Source organism: Homo sapiens, chromosome 6 (assembly GCF_000001405.40).
Source record: "Homo sapiens chromosome 6, GRCh38.p14 Primary Assembly".
Lineage (NCBI taxonomy): Eukaryota > Metazoa > Chordata > Mammalia > Primates > Hominidae > Homo > Homo sapiens.
This window is the reverse complement of record NC_000006.12, coordinates 133,273,245-133,293,058: the sequence shown is the minus strand read 5'-3', so window position 1 is coordinate 133,293,058 and position 19,814 is coordinate 133,273,245. Positions and strand designations below refer to the sequence as shown.

The 19,814-nt window shown below is 36.5% G+C and overlaps 1 protein-coding gene across 30 annotated transcripts in view; it reads right to left on the bottom strand.

The window, feature by feature from the left end:
- EYA4 (EYA transcriptional coactivator and phosphatase 4) overlaps window positions 1-19,814 on the bottom strand; it is a 291,536-nt gene that overhangs the window by 239,070 nt on the left and 32,652 nt on the right. For all 30 annotated transcript variants that reach the window (XR_001743219.3, XR_001743220.3, XR_007059221.1 and 27 more), the window contains one exon: window positions 18,246-18,343. Coding sequence is in view for 27 of the 30 variants with exons in the window: in XM_017010368.3 (XP_016865857.1) it covers window positions 18,246-18,278 (33 nt within the window). In the remaining 3 variants the exon portion in view is untranslated. The remainder of the gene's footprint in view (window positions 1-18,245; window positions 18,344-19,814) is intronic.

Below are 19,814 nucleotides of genomic sequence, written 5' to 3'. Positions count from 1 at the left end.
CGGGAATACATTGCAAGCCAGAGACCCCTGGGGGGAAGATGACCAGTGGCCAACGAATGACCAACAAATTTCTATCAACTGTGTTGTGTGACAGTGAGTGTCAAGTTCTTTTTTATACTTCATTATACTCAGACTGATCCTTAGTTTACTCTAATTACATCTATGAAATGACAGAGTTGGACTGTGTGATCTCTACTTGCTCTTCAAGCTTTAACATATAAACACTCTGCCAAAGGGTTGACATTCAGGAAAAGGACAAAAATATTTAAACAGACTTATTCAAATTTCTGGGGGTATAAATATGCATCTAGACATCTGAGACAAAAATATTGTTTAAAGATGCTTTAATGTTTTAAAAACATTAACACAAAAATTTTCCTTTTAGATCAACTCCTAAATTTGTTACTTTTCACAAACAAAGAGCAACCAGGGACTGAGAGTACATTTCTTCCCAATTTCCTTGTATAAATGTTGATACATTCAATGTGATGGAATCTAACAGCAAAGCAACTTCCCGTTTAAAATCCCAACATCAACATTCAATCCATGTTCATGTAATAAACACCCATATCCTAAGGCCTTCAATTAATTCCCTTAATGCTCAAGCTATTTGATATTAAGGGCTCAAGAATTAAAACAATGTACATATAATTCCAACAATTATGCAAGAATAAAACTAAGAAGAAAAATTACTCTGGCATTATGAAAATATTAAGCCTATTAAACCAGACGCAATTGGTGTAAAATTTACTCCTTTGAAGATTAGCAAATTGATTCAACATTCTAAAATAAGTATGCATAACCTGAAATTATCATGAGTGATTCCTGACTTACTTTTGCAGAGTAATTTTGTGCAACGGAATGTGTCTGCATCATCCAAAAATTAAGCAGATGCTATTACAGTAAGTTCCATATAAATGTCCAGTGGACAAGCACTCTGGAAAGGCCTCTTAACCACTGATAACAACTTACTTAACATAAACTTTTAAATACCTCTTAGGATTTTTCACAAAGATTTTCAGTCACAAATTATTGCCCTAGGATAGTATGCAAGTACTTTAATTTTGAAGGACTTTCAAAATCTAAAATATTAAGCAAACAAACGAAAAAAGGAAAAAAAAATCAGTCTAGCTGGGATCCCAGCCAATGAAAACTTTATTTCATGGAAAGAAAATAAGAAGTTCATAATCTCACAGTGAGGATGGAAACAATCACCCCAAACATGAATCAATGTGGATAATACTATGCAAATCACAGAAGAAAGGGGAAGCAGTCAGTCCTACAGAGAGTGAGCTGAGGTGACCACTTTTATAAGTGGCTAAAGGAAGAATCCTTGCATTGCTAGGAAGCTGGAGTTGGTAGCACCTTGGCACTATTTGCCTCTTTCATTTTATGAAAACGCTCCTAAAACTGAAGCTGCAAAGCCTTTTTATTTTGAACTTAGGAATCTTCAGCCTTACTTTCTTTAATATTAGCTTTATTACCACTTGTAACATCTACTCCATATTTTTCATTACTGAGCACCATAACGAAACTATGGCCTATATATGTAGTTAAGCAATATATAAAATCATGTTTATATCAATTTGCCAAAGATGTTTATTTAAAAAACACTGATTATATGCAGTAGTTATCAAATACATACATCTTATAAGATTTATGAAATAAACAGAAAATTCTTTGATGAAGGAGCTATTCAGACAAGAGTTAGCTAAAATAAGAAAATAAAGCTATAAAGATATCCCTAGGAATTTGGAAATAACTGTAAAATGCTTTTAAATCTTTGTTGAATAAATATTTTAACTTCCTGAATACAACTTAAGTCTATTGTTTAATTCCGGGTCAAAATGAAGTAACCCAAATATGCACTCTGTTACATAAAAGGCCCAGGGGATGAAATTACATCTCTCTCTAATAAGGTCCTTTGAAATCCTATACTACAGTAACTTAGCAGCCAAATTATTTTTCTTCTGTTAATGCTGATTGAGCAGTAAATAATAACTAGGAGAAAAACAAACATGCAAAATAAAGTTTTCACACCTTTGCTTGAGTTTTTTTAGATGACCCTGATCCACCAATTGTAGTAGAAACTCAAAAGCAATTATTTCATTAATCTTTATATATAGTAATAACTCACCACAGTTTTCAGGGAGGCTGGGGCTGATGTTAATTTCCAAATATTAAGAAACTTACACAAAAGTATGCTTTCAAATTTGTGTGAAGGTTGGAACGAATCAAAAAACCTCATTTCAAAACAAAGTGTTGTTGTTAATGTTCTCACTCTGCTTAAACCCTTTCAGTCTCCATTTTTGCATCTGTTAAACTAACGTAAAGGATTTGGACAGCATAATCTCTAAAGGTCCTACCACCTAGTAAACTAGTCCTGGAGCCCTCTGTATCAAGCATGGCAATACGAAAAGGAGATTAAGTGGGCAAGGCATTTAATTGAAACAAATGAGAGTGTGCTCTATTTAGAATCTCCCTAAAAACCCTGGTGTAGAAAAACCATTACAGACTCCAAATCTCACCTAACTCCTCCCCTTTTTTCTTCACATTAGCAGATTGAAAAATAAATATAGTCTAGGTTGTTGTCTACCCCTTTCACATCATGTCTGATACAACAGACTGTAAATCAAAGAAAATGTTAATAGGGGAAAATAAACCCATATCAAATTTTTTTCTTCTTATGTATGAACTGAAAACATTTCAAACTTTTTTGATGAAGGCACAAGTCAGGGTGGAGGACTGAAAAATAAATAAGGTATTTTTCTAACAAATCTGTCCAGCAGTTACAATTGCCAACTCTCAAGCCACACTTCCCGGGGTAAGATTCTGCTCCCCTACCCACAAGTTGGGCAATCCCTCATCTAGAAACTGGGAGATAGAGCTCACCTCATCAAATCGTCATGAGAATTAAATGAGTTAATGCATTTATATTATATATACATTCATTTATAGCACTTAGCCCATGGCACACAATGAGCATTACATAAGTGTTAGCTGTGGGCATCTGGGGCTCAGAATCTAGTTATAATCTACTGTCCACGTGTGTCAACCACAACAGTTTAGGCAAAATAATGAAAGCAAAGCAAAGTAAGTAGGGAGTGTTTGCCCTTTCATTTTTAACTCTCCTTTGTTTGTTTGTTTTCGCAGTTCTCCTTCTACCCTGCTATCCTAGCTCTTGCCAAGAGAGCTAACACAAACTTTTTAACAGATTAGCCCTTACAAAGTTATTTGTATTCTGAAGAAGTCTGAGCAGAGAAATCAATCCCTAATCCAAGAAAATATGAAGCCACCGAATTTCAAGTACTTTGAGGCAAGTACTTTTAAAGTCAATGTCAGCTAACTTTAGTCTGACTCTATTGTCAAATTTGACCCAATCATATTTATGAACATAGGCTCTTCTATTTGTTGGAGATGCTAATATCCAAGGAAAACAGGCCACATAGTTTCTTCCAAAGATAACGAGAGGCATATTCATTAATCTTAGAAGTGTTTATTTTTCCCCTTTATCTTCTTAATTGTTTCAATACAAAATAAAATAAATTTTCAATGCTAGCAGTATAGCCTTAAGTCCTAGTCAATGAGAGATATTTTGCTAAAAGAAAACTGAGTATGTCTCAATAATCCAAGTATTGAGTTCTAGGAGATCACCTACTATTTTTTTATAACAATGGCTACTGCAAATCTTCTTTATACTACTTAAGCCCTTAATTCTAACCCTGCTTCCATCTACTTCCTGATCTTGCCTGGACAAAGGTATTTGCCTCCTGTAAAAAGAATGCATTAAGGAAGAGCACTTTGGAAAATTCCAGGATATCCACGTTCTCTTAAATTTCCAGAGTCAGAGTGTATCACTCCTCTCCAGCTAGTTCACCTTCTTTCTGTTCTCCATTAACCTCATCATCCCTTCTGCAACAACTTGAAGTCTATTCTCCACTGAATCCTTCTCAAAATCTGTCATCAAACACAAGCAAGCCTCCTCTTGGAAGAAGGTGCTCCATTCAATTGCTGTTCTGTGTCTCTTCTTTAAACTTACAAACTTTCTCTTAATTCCTCATTATCTTCTCTAAATTGAATCTCTGGGATGCCTTTTCTTACCACAACTCTCTTGGGACTTCCTTTTGAAGGGCCACCAGTAACCTTCTGGTCAAGAAATGAAACAATCTCTTTCTCAGTGCCATTCTGCTTGACCTCTTGGAACGTCAGACAGTAATGACCAATTCCTCCTGAGAGTTAGCTTGGCCATGGCTCTGAAGACACTATTATCCTACTGGTTCTCATTTCCCTATCTTTTCTCAGTTTCTTACAGTTCATCTTCCTCCTTGCACTTCATAAACATGCTGGTCTCCTATGTTTATCTTCATCCTTCTGCCCTTCCTCAGATACCATCTCCCCTTAAAAGCATCACCTCAAGGAAAATACTGTTCTGTTCCACACATGAGCATGGAGAAGTTCCAGACTTCTCCCCCATGGCCCAGCAGGCCTTCACCAATTGCTAGTTTAACATGTTCTCAAAAGTCCTCAATTCAAACACATCTTTCTCTTTCCTTAAGTCATTGATACCTGCTCCTAAACTCTATTAATGACATCTTCTAGGCTTGAAACTCCAGGATAATCTTTTTCCTCCTCCAAGTCCACCCCTTGCCCTTCCTCCTACTAACTCTATTTGGTTTAGTTACCAAGTTCAGCAAAGCTTTATTTTCAAGTTCCTTTTATTGATTCTTTACTCGATGTCTTTCTTTCCACCATCATGTCATAAGTTTAGGCCAGGGGTTGTCAAAGTATGGCCCACCACCTGCCACATGCTTTTGTAAATAAAATTTTACTGGAACACAACCATGCCCATTCATTTACTTAATGTCTACAGCTGTTTTCACATTTCAAAAAAATTGCCAATCCCTGACTTAAGCCTTTTTTTTATTGAAATGGAGTCTCACTCTGTCGCCCAGGCTGGAGTGCAGTGCAGTGGCATGATCTTGGCTCACTGCCACCTCCGACTCCTGGGTTCCAGCGATTCTTCTACTTCAGCCTCCCGAGTAGCTGGGATTACAGGTGTGTGCCCCCACACCCGGCTAATTTTCGTATTTTTAGTAGAGATGGGGTTTCACCATGTTGGCCAGGCTGGTCACCTGACCTCAGGTGATCCGCCCACCTCGGCCTCCCAAAGTGCTGGGATTACAGGCATGAGCCACCGTGCCCGGCCACTTGGTTTAAGCCTTTCGGAGTTCATGTGCAAACTCCTTCAAGATCCCCTAAGCCATCTCTCGTACTCTCAATTTCCCACCTTCAGTAATCTCCCTACCATCTGGTTAATTTTCCTAAAACATCATTTTAAATATATTAATCTCTTGCCGAAAAATTATATGTAATTTTCCATTATGTCCAGGTTAGAAAGTCCAGAAATACAGGACTGTTATCTTATACATCTCTGTCTTTTGTGCAGTAATGAGCATCATGGTGGCCACCCAAGAACACGAAAACATCTCAGCTTGGCTTCAAAGTCCTTTTCAGTCTAGTCTCAGTGCTTCTCAGCCAGATTTCCCACTGCCTCACAACCTCATGCCCACAGAGCTTCTGATTCAGTAATTCTAACCTAGCCACAGTCCTAGGCAGGCCTTAACACCTTATATTTGGTACCTCTGAGCTTTTATGCCTGATATTCCCCAGGCCAGGATAGGTTCTCTTCTGTCCATACAAATTCATTCTGCCTTTCAAGACCCATTGAAGGTGTAACCTAGTCTATCTATAATTCCTTTCTTGTCTTTTATTGAACACATTTTCCATGCTGATAGCATAGTACTGTTACCTTTGCAATATTATTTTGCTTTCTTGCTTAAATTCTATATTATGTCTTTGGCTTTTCATTGCAGTTCCCTCAATAATATATCATAGCATAGTATATATTATATTAAATGTTCAGGTAAACTTTCTCAAATGTTTTGCAGGCAGTAAGTATATAAATAAAACACTCATTGGAAACAGATGTAATGTAGATCTGTGGTCCCCCCGACACACACAGAGAAGACATTTGGCAATGTCTCAAGACATTTTTTATTGTCACAACAAAGGAAGGGGGGTGCTACTGACATCTAGTGGGTAGATACCAGAGATGCTGCTAAATAACACAATGTACAGGACAGCACCCCTCCCCAACACTACAAAGAATTTTGTGGCCCAAAATGTCAACAATGCTGAGGTTAAAAAACTCTAATTAGATTAATTCTTTCCTAACCTGAAGTGCCTAGAAACATCACATCTACAAACAAAGCAATGAAAAAATGAAAACTATTTGTTGACTGAATTTTCTTCTAAATATTTCATGATTTTGGTTACTTTGATGGAAATCTCAAATAAGTGAATACTGTCTCAATACCTATTCATAGCTGTATGGTGCTCTTTCTGCTATGATAGAGGTGAATCCAGTAATCAGTGACCTGGATATGTGTTTTTGGAAATTTGGAAAGAAGCACCTCGGAGGAAAATTCACTGAATGTGGCCACATACAGTCTATGACATAACTCATTGCTTATGGGTATTAGGATCAAGCAGCTATCTATGTAAACTAGCATCTCCTTGCTCTCTAACCTGGGGTGCCCAGGGCTTAGTCCTTTTAATTTGTCCCTAGCTAGACTTATTCTTTTGGAGATTTCAACAAATATAATGTTTTGAAATACCATTGATATCTTGAAGCCTCCCAAATTTATATTTCAAGTTCAACTCATTTCCCTGAGTTCCCAATGGTTACATCTGATGCATATGCCTAAGAGAAAGTAAAATTTCACATGCGTTTAATTAGCTTAGTTGGTTAACACTCCCCTCAGAATGTGCCCCCCATGCAGTGCACTAGCAATCCAGCGTTCTTCATAACTGGGGATCCCCATTGTTTCCCTGAGGCCTCCTCCTCCTTCATCACCCTAGGAGAACACAGAGACCAAAGAATCATTCTGGGGCTTCTCACTGCCTCATTCTCAAAATGATCAACATTATCACTTCTCCTTACATTTCACAGGCCAGCACTAGTTATATGGCCCTGCTGAACTGTAAGGAAACTGAGATGCACCAGAAAAGAGGGGTATGAAAGAGGGTTGGTGAAAACACAGCAATGTCTCTGCCACCATGTCTAAAACTGACCTCCTGATCTGCAACCCCAACCTGTTCTTCCCCAGTCATCCTATCTCAGTCAATGCCAACTCCATCCTTCCCATTTCTCTGCACAAAGACCTTGAAGTTATGTCTGACACCTTTCTTTCTATCATAATCCATAACCCATACATTAGCAAGTCATCTTAGATTAACCCCAATGCAACGACTTACTACCTCCAATGCTACTTTGTTGATTTTTCATCTGGATAGTTAAAATAGCCAGTCTCTGCTCTTGTCATCATAGTCTATTTTCAAAATAAAAGCCAGAGTGGGTTATTTAAAAACTTTAGTCACATCACACAATACCTAAGCTCAAAAGCCTCCAATTGCTTTACATGTCACTAAGAGAAAAAGTTTAAGCTTTACAATGGTCTGGAAACCTCTACACAATATGTATTCCTCCACCCTCACATGCCCATGCTGATTACCTTTGCAGCCTTATTTCTGCCTTGTTCTGCCCATCACTACCACCAACGCTGACATCCTTTCTATTCCTTGAACCTACCCTGCATGCTACCACCTCACGGTTGCTGTTCCCTCTAATTAAAACCCACTTTCCCCAGATATCCACATGGCTCACTTCCTCGCCTCTCTTGAGTCTTTGCACAACATCTTCTCAGTGAGGCCTCCCTAACTACTCTCCAAAAACCGCAGCTTGGGAGGCCGAGGCAGGCAGATCACAAGGTCAGGAGATTGAGACCATCCCCGCTAACATGGTGAAACCCCGTCTCTACTAAAAATACAAAAAATTAGCCGGGCGTGGTGGCGGGTGCCTGTAGTCCCAGCTACTCGGGAGGCTGAGGCAGGAGAATGGCGTGAACCCGGGAGGTGGAGCTTGCAGTGAGCCGAGCTCGCGCCACTGCACTCCAGCTTGGGGGACAGAGTGAGACTCCATCTCAAAAAACAAACAAACAAAAAAAAAAACAAAAAACCACAGCTGTCCCTTCACCTACCTACCCTGCCCGCAAGCACTTCCTATCCTCCTCCCTGCTTTATTTGGTTTTTCTCCTTGCACTTATTACTATCTGACATACTATATTTGTTTACTGTTTGTCTCCCCCTCCACAAGAATATAAGTTCCACAAGAACAGTAATATGCGTCCATTTTGTCCACCAAGTATTTCCAACAATGAAAACCATGCTTCAAATATAGCAGTGCTCCACAAATATTCACTGAATGAATTAGTACTAGCTATCCAAGTCTCGTTTTAAAAGAACTAAGAATAGAACTTACACAGTATCATATAATCTTATGCTAAACTAAAATTTAGGGGGAGAAAAGGAATTATTATATTCATCTTTTAATCCCTAGTATAGCAAAGTTTCTAGAGGATAGCAAGAAGTCTTGAAATGCTTACTTAATTGAATTTGCTGAACTATCATTTAATTTCCATACATTCTGCTATCTTATGACTGCCTGTTAAAATATTTACTAATAGGGTCAGGTGCGGTGGCTCATGCCTGTAATCCCAGCACTTTGGGAGGTCAAGGCAGGTGGATCACATGAGGCCAGGAGTTCAAAACCAGCCTAGCCAATGTTGCAAAACCCCATCTCCACTAAAAATACAAAAATTATCCTGTTGTGGTAGTGTGCACCTGTAGTCCCAGTTACTCTACTCGGGGGGCTGAGACAGGAGAATCACTTAACTCAGGAGGCAGAGGTTGCAGTGAGCCGAGATATGTGATTAATGAAGATTGTACAATTAATCTGTAATCACGGTGGAATAATTTAAATTTCTCACTCAAATCCATAATATTTAAAATTGTTTGATCTTCATATAAATAATCTAAGATCAAGCTGAGTTTTAATACATACTCTATGACACCAAGTTGACCGAAGGGTCTGAAAATCATGTAAGTTGATGGAAGCAGGTGAGTTCACGTGTTTAACATGAAATCGTGTCTTTAGCAGTAGCATGGATGGAACTGAAGGCCATTATCTTAAGTGAAACAACTCAGACACAGAAAGTCCAATATCACATATTTTCACTTATAAATGGGAGCTAAATAATATGTACATATGGAAACAGAGAGGAATAATAGTCACTGGAGACCTTTGGAGACCACTGGAGAAGGGTGGGCAGGTGGGAGGGAGTGAGGGATGAGAAATTACTTAATGGTTACAATATACACTATTCAAATGATGGTTACACTGAAAGCCCAGACTTCATCACCATGCAATATATCCACGTAACAAAACCACACTTGTACCCCTTAAACTTACATATTTAAAAAAACAGTATGGATTCTGGAATAAAGACTATGTGAGTTCATATTCCATCAGCATAGCTTCCAAGCTGGCACAACCCTGAATAAGATACCTAAACTCTGCTTCAGTGTACTCTTCTTCAGACTGAGGTTATGACAGAGCCTCCACAAAGGGCCGTTATGAGATTTAGTGAGATGAGTAGCATAAAGCACTTGGCATGGTACCTCTATCGATGAACATTAACTTTTTTCATCAGTGAATTTTTCCATTTGTTAAATACCTTATAGCAGAAATTGCATTATATTTATTAATGTTTTCTATTTCTCAAGAGTATTAAACCATGAAAGAGATTATATTTCTATCATAAAAATTATTTTCATTTTATTTTTTATATTATTATTATTATTATTGAGACAGAATCTTGCTCTGTCGCTCAGGGTGGAGCACAGTGGCACAATCTCGGCTCACTGCAACCTCCGCTTCCCGGGTTCAAGCAATTCTCATGCCTCAGCCTTCTAAGTAGCTGGGACTACAGGCATGCATCACCATGCCCGGCTAATTTTTGTATTTTTAGTAGATACAGGGTTTCACCATGTTGGCCAGGCTGGTCTCGAACTCCTGACCTCAGGTGATCCACCCGCCTCAGCCTCCCAAAGTGCTGGGATTACAGGAGTGAGCCACTGCACCCAGCCTGAATTATTTTCATTTTAATTTATAAGATAGAATTATTAGATAACAATATGTAAATTGTAAGTTCAGACACAAGACTTTTGGTACCCAAAGATATCATAGCTCTTATTTATATCTATACTATCCAAACCAACTGCCCAGGGATCTTGACAACTCACCAGACCAGAATTAGCAGTTATGAGGCTTGGTGCTACCCTTCTTCCTTACCAAGTCCATGGCAAATCACACCAAATTGATAACATTACTTTTCCAATGAGCTCGGATGTAGCCATAGGTTCCTTCTTAACACAAACAGCTGTTACCAGCTGATCACAGTTGACAGAAGAAAACGTAATATTTAGTCTCCAGATCTTGGCAAATGACATAGAATCACACTCCATATTCTGTATAATATGAGGCTCTCCATATATACATATATATATATACACACACATATGTGTCATATATATTCTAAGATTTGAGAAAAAATTTTAACAAATCAAATTATAATTTTAGAAGTTCATAGAAGATAATAATTAATGAAATCTTGTGCTGAATCTTCATAAACTCACACAAAAATATAAAAATTCAGAGTTTAAAAAATACTTAGAAGTAGGAAAAGGATATGAACAGACATTTCTCAAAAGAGGACATACAAGCGGCCAACAAACATGAACAAATGCTTAACATCACTAATGATCAGAGAAGTGCAAATCAGAACCACAATGAAATACCATCTCACACCAGTCAGAATGGCTATTATTAACAAGTCAAAACATAACAGATGTTGGCAAGGCTGCAGAAAAAAAGGAAACACTTATATACTGCTGGTGGGAATGTAAATTAGTTCAGCCACTATGAAGCAGGTTGGAGATTTCTCAAAGAACTTTAAACAGAACTACCATTTGACCCAGCAATCCTACTACTGGTTATAGACCCAAAGGAAAAGAAACCATTCTATCAGAAAGACATTATTCACAATAGCAAAGACAAGGAACCAACTTAGGTGCCCACAACAATGGAATGGATAAAGAAAATGTGGTTTATATACACCATGGGATACTATACAGCCATAAAAAAAATGAAATCATCTCCTTTGCAGCCATATGGATGCAGCTGGAGGCCATCATCCTAAGTGAATCAACACAGGAAAAAAAAAACAAATACCACATGTTCTCACTTAGATGTGAGAGCTAAGCAGTGAGGAAACATGGACATAGAGACAGAAACAATAGACAGTGGGAACTACCGGAAGTGGCAGGGAGGAAGAGGAACAAGGGCTGAACAACTACCAGTTGGGTATTATTCTCACTACCTAGGTGCTGGCATCAATCATACCCCAAACCTCAGTGTCACACAATATACCCATGACAAAAACCTGCACACGTACCCCTGAAATCTAAACTAAGTTGAAGTTTAAAAAAAAATCTTCCTCAATAAAATTTAACTCAAAATGAACTAAAGACCTAAATGTAAGAGCTAAAACTATAGAAAACTGTAAAATTCATATAAGAAATCATAGGAGTAAGTATTTGTGAAGGCCATTATCTTAACTGAAGCAACTCAGATATAGAAAGTCAAATATCACATGTTCTCGCTTACATATGAGAAATCATAGAGAAATGAAATCATAGGAGTAAATCTTTGTGACCCTGGATTAGGCAAAGATTTCTTATACACAACACTAAAAGCGCAAGTGACAAAAGAAAAAAATAGATAAACTGGACTCAAATTTAAAACTTCTGTGCATCAAAGGACACTATCAAGAGTGAAAAGACAACCCACAAAATGGGAGATATCCTTTGAAAAGTGTAGATCTGGTGAAGGACTTTTATCTAGAATACAGAAATGACTCTTAAAACATAATTGTAAAAAAAGAAGTAACCTTATAACATAGGGGCAAATTTATATTCTTTCTATTTAAAGAGTATAAATAGAAGTGTCTCCATACAATGGAATATTATTTGGCCATAAAAAGGAACTAAGTACTGATTCATGCTACAACATAGATGAACCTTGCAAACATTATGTCACGTATAAAAAGCAAGCCACAAAAGTTCTCATATTGTATGACTCAATTTATATGAAAGGTCCAGAATAGGCAAATCCATAGAGATAGGAAGTGGATTGGTGCTTGTCTAGGGCTGAGGGGTGCTCATCGGGGGAATGGGGAGTGTGCTAATGGGCATGGGATCTCTTTCTCAACTGATTAAAAATCCTCTAAAATTGACTGTGGTAATAATTGTACAACTCTATGAATACCCTAGAAATCACTGAATTGTACATTTTAAGTGGGTGAGCTGTATTGTATGAGAATGACATCTCAATAAAACTACTATTGGCCGGGCGCGGTGGCTCACACCTGTAATCCCAGCACTTTGGGAGGCCAACGAGGCAGATCATGAGGTCAGGAGATTGAGACCATCCTGGCTAACAGGGTGAAACTCCATCTCTACTAAAAATACAAAAAATTATCTGGGCGCCGTGGCACATGCCTGTAGTCCCAGCTACTCAGGAGGCTGAGGCAGGAGAATCACTTGAACCCGGGAGTCGGAGGTTGCAGTGAGCCGAGATTGTACCACCGTACTCAACAGAGCAAGACTCCATCTCAAACAAAAAAAAAGAAAAAAGAAAAACTATTATTTTAAAAATGCTTAAAAAGGAAGAGTAAGCCTTAATGATTATGAAACATTAAATTATACTGAACGCATCTACTTTGTAACTTCAGTTTAGGTACTCTACTACATAACTGCAAAGTCAAGCTGTAATTGGCAATTTGGAGTTAACAGTAATTCTGAAACTGGGCTTTGAACAGAATTCCACAGAACTCTGAAGTATGTTATTCAGTTGGATAGTATAAAAATTACATGTTGTAAACAAGATTCTTTTAACTAGTTTAAAGGTCAAGTTCTTCGATACAGAATTGGATCCTGAAAAAGAATAATCCAACATTGTTTAGATCTAAGTAAAATATATTTAAGATATTCAGTACAAGTATGCCTTCTGGTCGAATGGGTTTAGAGTACCCAAGAATAAAGCAACAGAATAATAGAATTTTAGGATTTTGATAATGTCACATTATAAAAATAGAAAAATGATTTAAACAAAAATTAATCAAAATAATTATATTCTAGCATACTGTTTAAACACTGTCATAAATTGGTGGTTCTGAAGTTCTATGTCTAGATGATAAGTTTAATGGCAAATTCAATTCTATACAATAGTTAAAAATCTGATACAGAGAGGAGTACACGTTTTAAAGATGGGCTAGTGGCTATAATCAAAGATAATACTGTAGGATCTCTAGGAACAAAGATCTGAGGACTAATCAAAGTCATGAGTACTCTAAGGAAAAACAAGAGAGAGATAAAAATAAATTAATTTACTAAACTAGCTCTAGAATTTTAATAGACATTATTAAATTAGCATGGTTGGTGAAGGCAAATAAATACAATTCATATCTACAAATGCATGTAGAAACAAATTTCCAAAAGTATTACTGAAACATGTCTATGAATATGTTTCATAAATACAAATAGAATAGCTTTGAAATATAAATGTATTATATTTAAAAATGGACACAGAAATGAATTTCCAGAAGTATTAATGAATCATACAATATGTAACATAATCCAATGAATGTGAGTTAATTTAGATGTCACTAATAAAATCATGCCACCAACAATATAAGTGAATTGATTTAGTAACAATGTGGAAATACATATGAATGTTCAGGCCCGTAATGCATAACATTTAGGGAAAGCAATCCTGCTGTAACTTATTCATTTTACTTAGTTTTACTTAATATTCACGAATGTTTTACTTTATAACATACAATACTTAACATTAATAAAATATATTTCTTTTCAAACCTGCTGGCTTGATCATTAATTTAGGCCAGACTCCATCTCATGTTGATATGAATGTTTTGGATGAGAAAAAATCTGAAGTAATATCCCGGACCACCAAAATAGGATTATAAAACACCTCAATCTATAAAGATATTATAGAAGCTATAAAAATAATAAATATTGCTCATTCTCTGCTTGAATACAAAAATACAATATATTTCACAGTATGAAGGGAGCTATTGCTAGGTATAACCTACATTCACAGCCATTTCTATTATCAAGAACATTTCATTAAAAACTGTAATAAGCTGTAACTGGCTATAACTTAAACCAATTCTAAAGAATTATGAAGCTCTAAAATAGAACTGCAGATAAATTTATGACAGTTAAATATTCTTTTTAGTTGCTTATCTCTTAAAATTCTCTACATCCTCTAAGCCAGAATGCCAAATAGGAGCCAGATATACTAGAGGAAAAATGAAGGACTGAACTTTATTTTGGTCATATGCAGTTAAATTCATGTTAGACCTTCTATGCAATTTTTTAAGTGAGTCGAATATAAATTCATGAGTCAGTAATCTACTCTGAGAATAACATTTTGGCTTTCTAAAATTTGTCAGGCTACTCATTAACATACCTCACTAAAAGTATATAAAGGCTTTTGAAGAAAACATTTACTGAACACTGGCAAGAATCGTGCTAAGAAGTAAGAGTACGAGATGAACGAGATCCACCATTACTCTTAAGTAGTTTATAATGTAGTGGTGAGATAGGCAAGTAAACAGATAGGGTTTCAGTCCTGTAGGGTAAGTGCTGGGCTAGAGGTAAATGCCAAAGGGTTATGGCAGCACACTGCAGAGGGCCCTGACCGGTAGGGCTGATTGGGTGAGAAGAAAGGAGGTAGTCTGAGAGGGCTGCTCAGAGGGATGGAAACCTAAACTGAGTCTTCAAGAATTACAGGTTATCCTGGTGGTGGGAAAGAGACCCTTCTGGGAAGATATTAAAGCACTTGCAAATGCATAGAGACCTCAGAGAACCTGGGAGATTCAGAAACTGACAGAAACCAGAAAAAAAAAAACTGAAGAAATACATAAGCATTAAGCTCTGTATGCTTGATGACACACTTGAGCCTCTCCCTTGAAGGCAAGAAAGGGCTTGTGAAGGATAAAAAGGAAGGTAGTGATGTGATCAGGGTTGTATTTTAGGAAGACAACTCTAGAAGCAACTTAAAGTAAAACAAGAAAGTCAAGAGATAAAATAAAGATCTCAACTAAACTAAGGGAGCTCGAGCAAAAAGAATAGCTTTGAATGACATTAAACATTAAGAGTGGACAAAGCTTTGAGATGCGGGATGAAGAAAAGGAGGATTACTACCTCTTTTCTGCCATAACCCATTCAGTAGCTGATGATGCCATTCACTGAGATGAGTAATACTGGCATAAAGGACAAAGGAAGAAAAGCTGGGAGAGGGAAGGAGAGCTGGTGAATTTATTCTTCATTTGCTGAGTGTGTGGACCTGTGAACTCCCAGAAGGGATGTCTGGTCAGTAGCTGGATATGCTAGAATGAATGAATACTCATTAAAGAGCATCTGAATATCTCAGGTATTTGTGATAGCAGCTAACATTTATTGAATATTTACTCTAAGTGAGGCATATGCAAGCACTTCATAAGACATCTTTTTATTATCCTTCCACTCCATAGAGGAGGAAGAGTTTAAGTAATTTCCCAAAGGTTTTAAAGCATTTAAGTGACAGGGAAGTCTGATTTATAGCTCATGCCCTTAACTACCTATTATGTTGTATCATGCAAAATCCATTAAAAGTTTTGGGGCCAGAGAGAAGTTGGTTTAATTCTGATCTCTACTACTTAACAGCTGTTTGACCTTGACACTCTCTAGGTCACAGTTTCATCTGTAAAATAGTGGCCTTAAAAATTGCAATGAAGGAATACATGGTAAGAATTGGAGCAAGTATATGGAAAATGCTAGATGCAGTGTGCATGTGCCACAAATGACTCCTACTGCTATGTCTACACCCAAAGAATCCCTCTTGAACTAAAATAGCAATGATATGAGTAAATTCACTTTCATCTAACTATGAACTTTATTTTAATTCCACCCCTACTTGTTCTATATCTTAATAAATGCTATCATTTTTCAAAATATTTTGAGACATTAATATACTCCACAAAATTTAGAATCATATAAAGATTTCATTCAAAGAGAAATTATTTCCATGTAAAGGGGCTGATTCTTTTTCTTTTCTTTTTTTTTTTTTTTTTGACATTTCTATAAATGCCACAATATGCATAACCCAAAGGCAATGAGGCACGTCGATGTTATGGAGAGAGCTTTGGACTTGGAGTCAGAAGAACCGTGTGAAGTCCTAACTCTGCCTCTTATCAGCTATGCCAACATGGGCAAGTCATTTAACAGTTCTAAGCATCTCTTTGCACATTTATGAGATGAATACATTGGTCTACATGTTTGAAATTTAAATTCAGCAAATGGGTTCAAGCTGAGAGGGTAGGCAGGTCTCCCTAGATTTCTTGTTCTCAAACCTGACTGCTCACTAGCATCACTGGAAACTTTTAAAAACATACTTTAAAAAGAAATAGTGAGCTCCATGACCTTAAAATATCACTAGAAGGACACCATATCTGATTTACAAGTTCTGTGCTTCATTTTGTGAACGGTGATATGACGCATCTTTAGTAACACATCACTTTAGTGTTAAACATAAAAATATATTCTCAACTGCATTGAAAACAAAATTCTTTCTTGAGTATATACACACCCTATAGTAATTAACAGAATCAACCATCCTGGTTTTCCCCCAAACTTTGTGTGCTTTAGCACTGAAAGTTCTATGTCCCTAGAAAATCCTCAGTCTCTGGCAACAAAAAAACGTTGGTCACTCTAACATATACGCACACATACATACAAACATTTGCATATACACACACACTTGTATGTGACCCTCGGTGTATCAGAACAAAGTTCAGATCAACAGCACTCTTTTAATGAAGCATCACCACTAAGATGTTGTCAACATTTACTACTAACTATTCAAGTCCACCATAGTCACACAGACAGACTTCTGATTCCAACAGTCATGATGACTAACCTCCATTTTGCTAGAGTCCATGCTGTGAATATTTACAGTCAATAACCAGCATTTTTAAAAGTTTGAAAGCCCTTGCCTTCCCATAGCCATTTCTGTTTACCTTACTAAAGAAGTCACACAATTCTAGAGGAATATATCTCTACCATTTGACAAATTTCATAGTTTTTTCACTTTATAATTTTTTGTTACATTTTTCCTATGATGCCATGTGAAATAAATCATAATATAATATATATTGAAATTAGACTATGGTCATGTCTATCCAAATTAAAGGCATGGCTATCATTTCTTTTAAATAAAATATCCACTAGAAAGCAAATCAAATCAACTTCAAATGGCACCAGAATATACATCCCTCTTAAAATTAAACTCATCACATATACCTTTTCTAGAACCACATTATTAGATATAAGTATCTTCTCCTCAGTTGCCTGATGGAGAAACATTTGACTGTAAGATCAAGTCATGATCACATAAGCTAATAAAGAACAGCATCAAAAAAAAAAAAAAGGAACAGCATCAGACTGCAGAACACACTCTCAGTAAGCACACGTCTTGTTACTTGTAACATCATGAGTTGTCCGTATGCAAAACAGCTCAAACGACAGCTTCCAGTAGTGTGAAGGCGTGGGGGTGTGAGGGAAGCCCTCCCACTGCCTCTAGTTCCACACGCTAAAGAACTACTGTCACAGAGACACCACTAACAAGCTAGGAGGAAAGGTTGCAAAGAGCCTTTCCCTTGGGAAATCAGAATCTTAAAAGGATTGCCATCAAGCTGGTGCATTCTTGGTCCTGCAATGAATCTAGTAAAATACTAAAAGCGCTTGAGAACTATGGTTTCTTTCCTCCTTAAAATGACTAACAAGCATGCTAATAATATACTTTCTCCTTTTATACTTCTGATATTCAACAATATCCAGCATATCTGAAATAAAATAATAAAGGACGTATATAAAATTGTTTAGACTGTCTAAAACATGCATCATGATTTCAATGCCTTAGTCTTTCCACCACTAGTTTTCCAAGTAGAAAATCAAAGAAGACATCAAAATGTGACATCATCATTAAGCAGAAACGGCATAAATCTCCAAAGGTCTGTTTCATGGTCTTTGAAAGGAAATTCAAAAATCATTTAAAAATATATTTAATGAAAAACTTACTTCTTACAATATATCTCTTTTACGTATGATTTTCAGTAGTGTTATCGCAACTTTTTTCAGCAAAACTGAGAATGAAGACTTACTGATTGTTCATTTAAATCCTGGGAGTCTTCCATGTGGTTTTCTCACTTCTCCTGCCACTCCCAAGTAGAAGCAGCTTCCTTCAAGTAAAAATGACTATCTAAAACAAGAAGATGGAAACAAAGGGGAAAAATGTTATCTTTATATTCATTTGTAAGGTTACAAAAACATATCAAGACATAGCATGGTAATTAGTAACTTGTAGGAGCATTCTCTCAAGAAGAAAATCCACTAATATTGTCTCCATATCTGATGCAATTAATGATCTTGAAAATAGTGTCATGGTAAAAGTGGGGTATGTGAACAGCTAGTCAGGAATTCTACAGATCAACAAAAATATCCATAGTCTGCACTAAACACAGTCTGCAATAAACAGTTAATACACTATTTTACTGAGGGAGGTATGTCATCAAGCAATTGACAGATTAACAATCAAGAGTTTGAATTAACCATTTACTTTCAAAAGTACATAAAATAATTTGAAAAAGTAAGTGTGCATTTTAATATGACAACTTTCTCTTACAGGAAAATTTGAATTATCAGATGATTATTCTTCTGAAAAATAATTACTCTTCACTTTTTAAAAATATAAAATACATGACCAACCTTAAAAAGACAATATGTTAAAGAATGTATTACAAATAAACATGGGAAAGATAATTAGTAATACACTATGGTGAGATAACTGGTTAACTATTCAAAAAATATCTTTACTCCATACCATACATTAAAATATTTTCAAATGAATTAAAGTTGAAAAACTCTAAGAAAAATAGGCATATATTTTTAAATCCCCAGATAGAGGATTTTATCATAGTAGCAATAGAAGACACACCAAAAACCCAAGTAACCCTGAATCCTCTCTCTTGCTCTCTCTTTTAAAACACATACACGCACACACACACACCCACACACACACAATGAAAATTAAAAGGCACAGAAAAATCTAGAAATACCTGTGCAAATACCAAACACAATGGGCTGATGTTCTTAACATATAAAGAGCTCTTACAATTCAAACAGAAAGGCACATGCCCTACAGAAATATGTTCAATTATCATAAAACTGTGTTCAAATTCACAATGAAATGTAATTTAAAATTGCAATGGTACATTTCTAGTGTTCAAATTCTAATTCTAAAAAAGAAAAATTAAAAGATTATAATAAAAACAATTTAGATTTAAAAAGTTGTTCATCATAGATGAACATAATCATTGAAGTCACATTTCAAGAAATATCTACTGACATTAAATATTTCTGAAAATACAATTTAAATGGAAAAGAGTATTACAATCTAAAGAAACAATCGGACACTGTGGTGGTTAATACTGAGTGTCAACTTGATTGGATTGAAGGATACAAAGTATTGATCCTGGGTATGTCTGTGAGGGTGTTGCCAAAGGAGATTAACATTTTGAGTCAGTGGGCTGAAGAAGGCAGATCCACCCTTAATCTGGCAGGCACAATCTAATCAGCTGCCAGCGAATATAAAGCAGGCAGAAAAGTGTGAAAAAAAGAGACGGGCCTAGCTTCCCAGCCTACATCTTTCTCCCGTGCTAGATGCCTCCTGC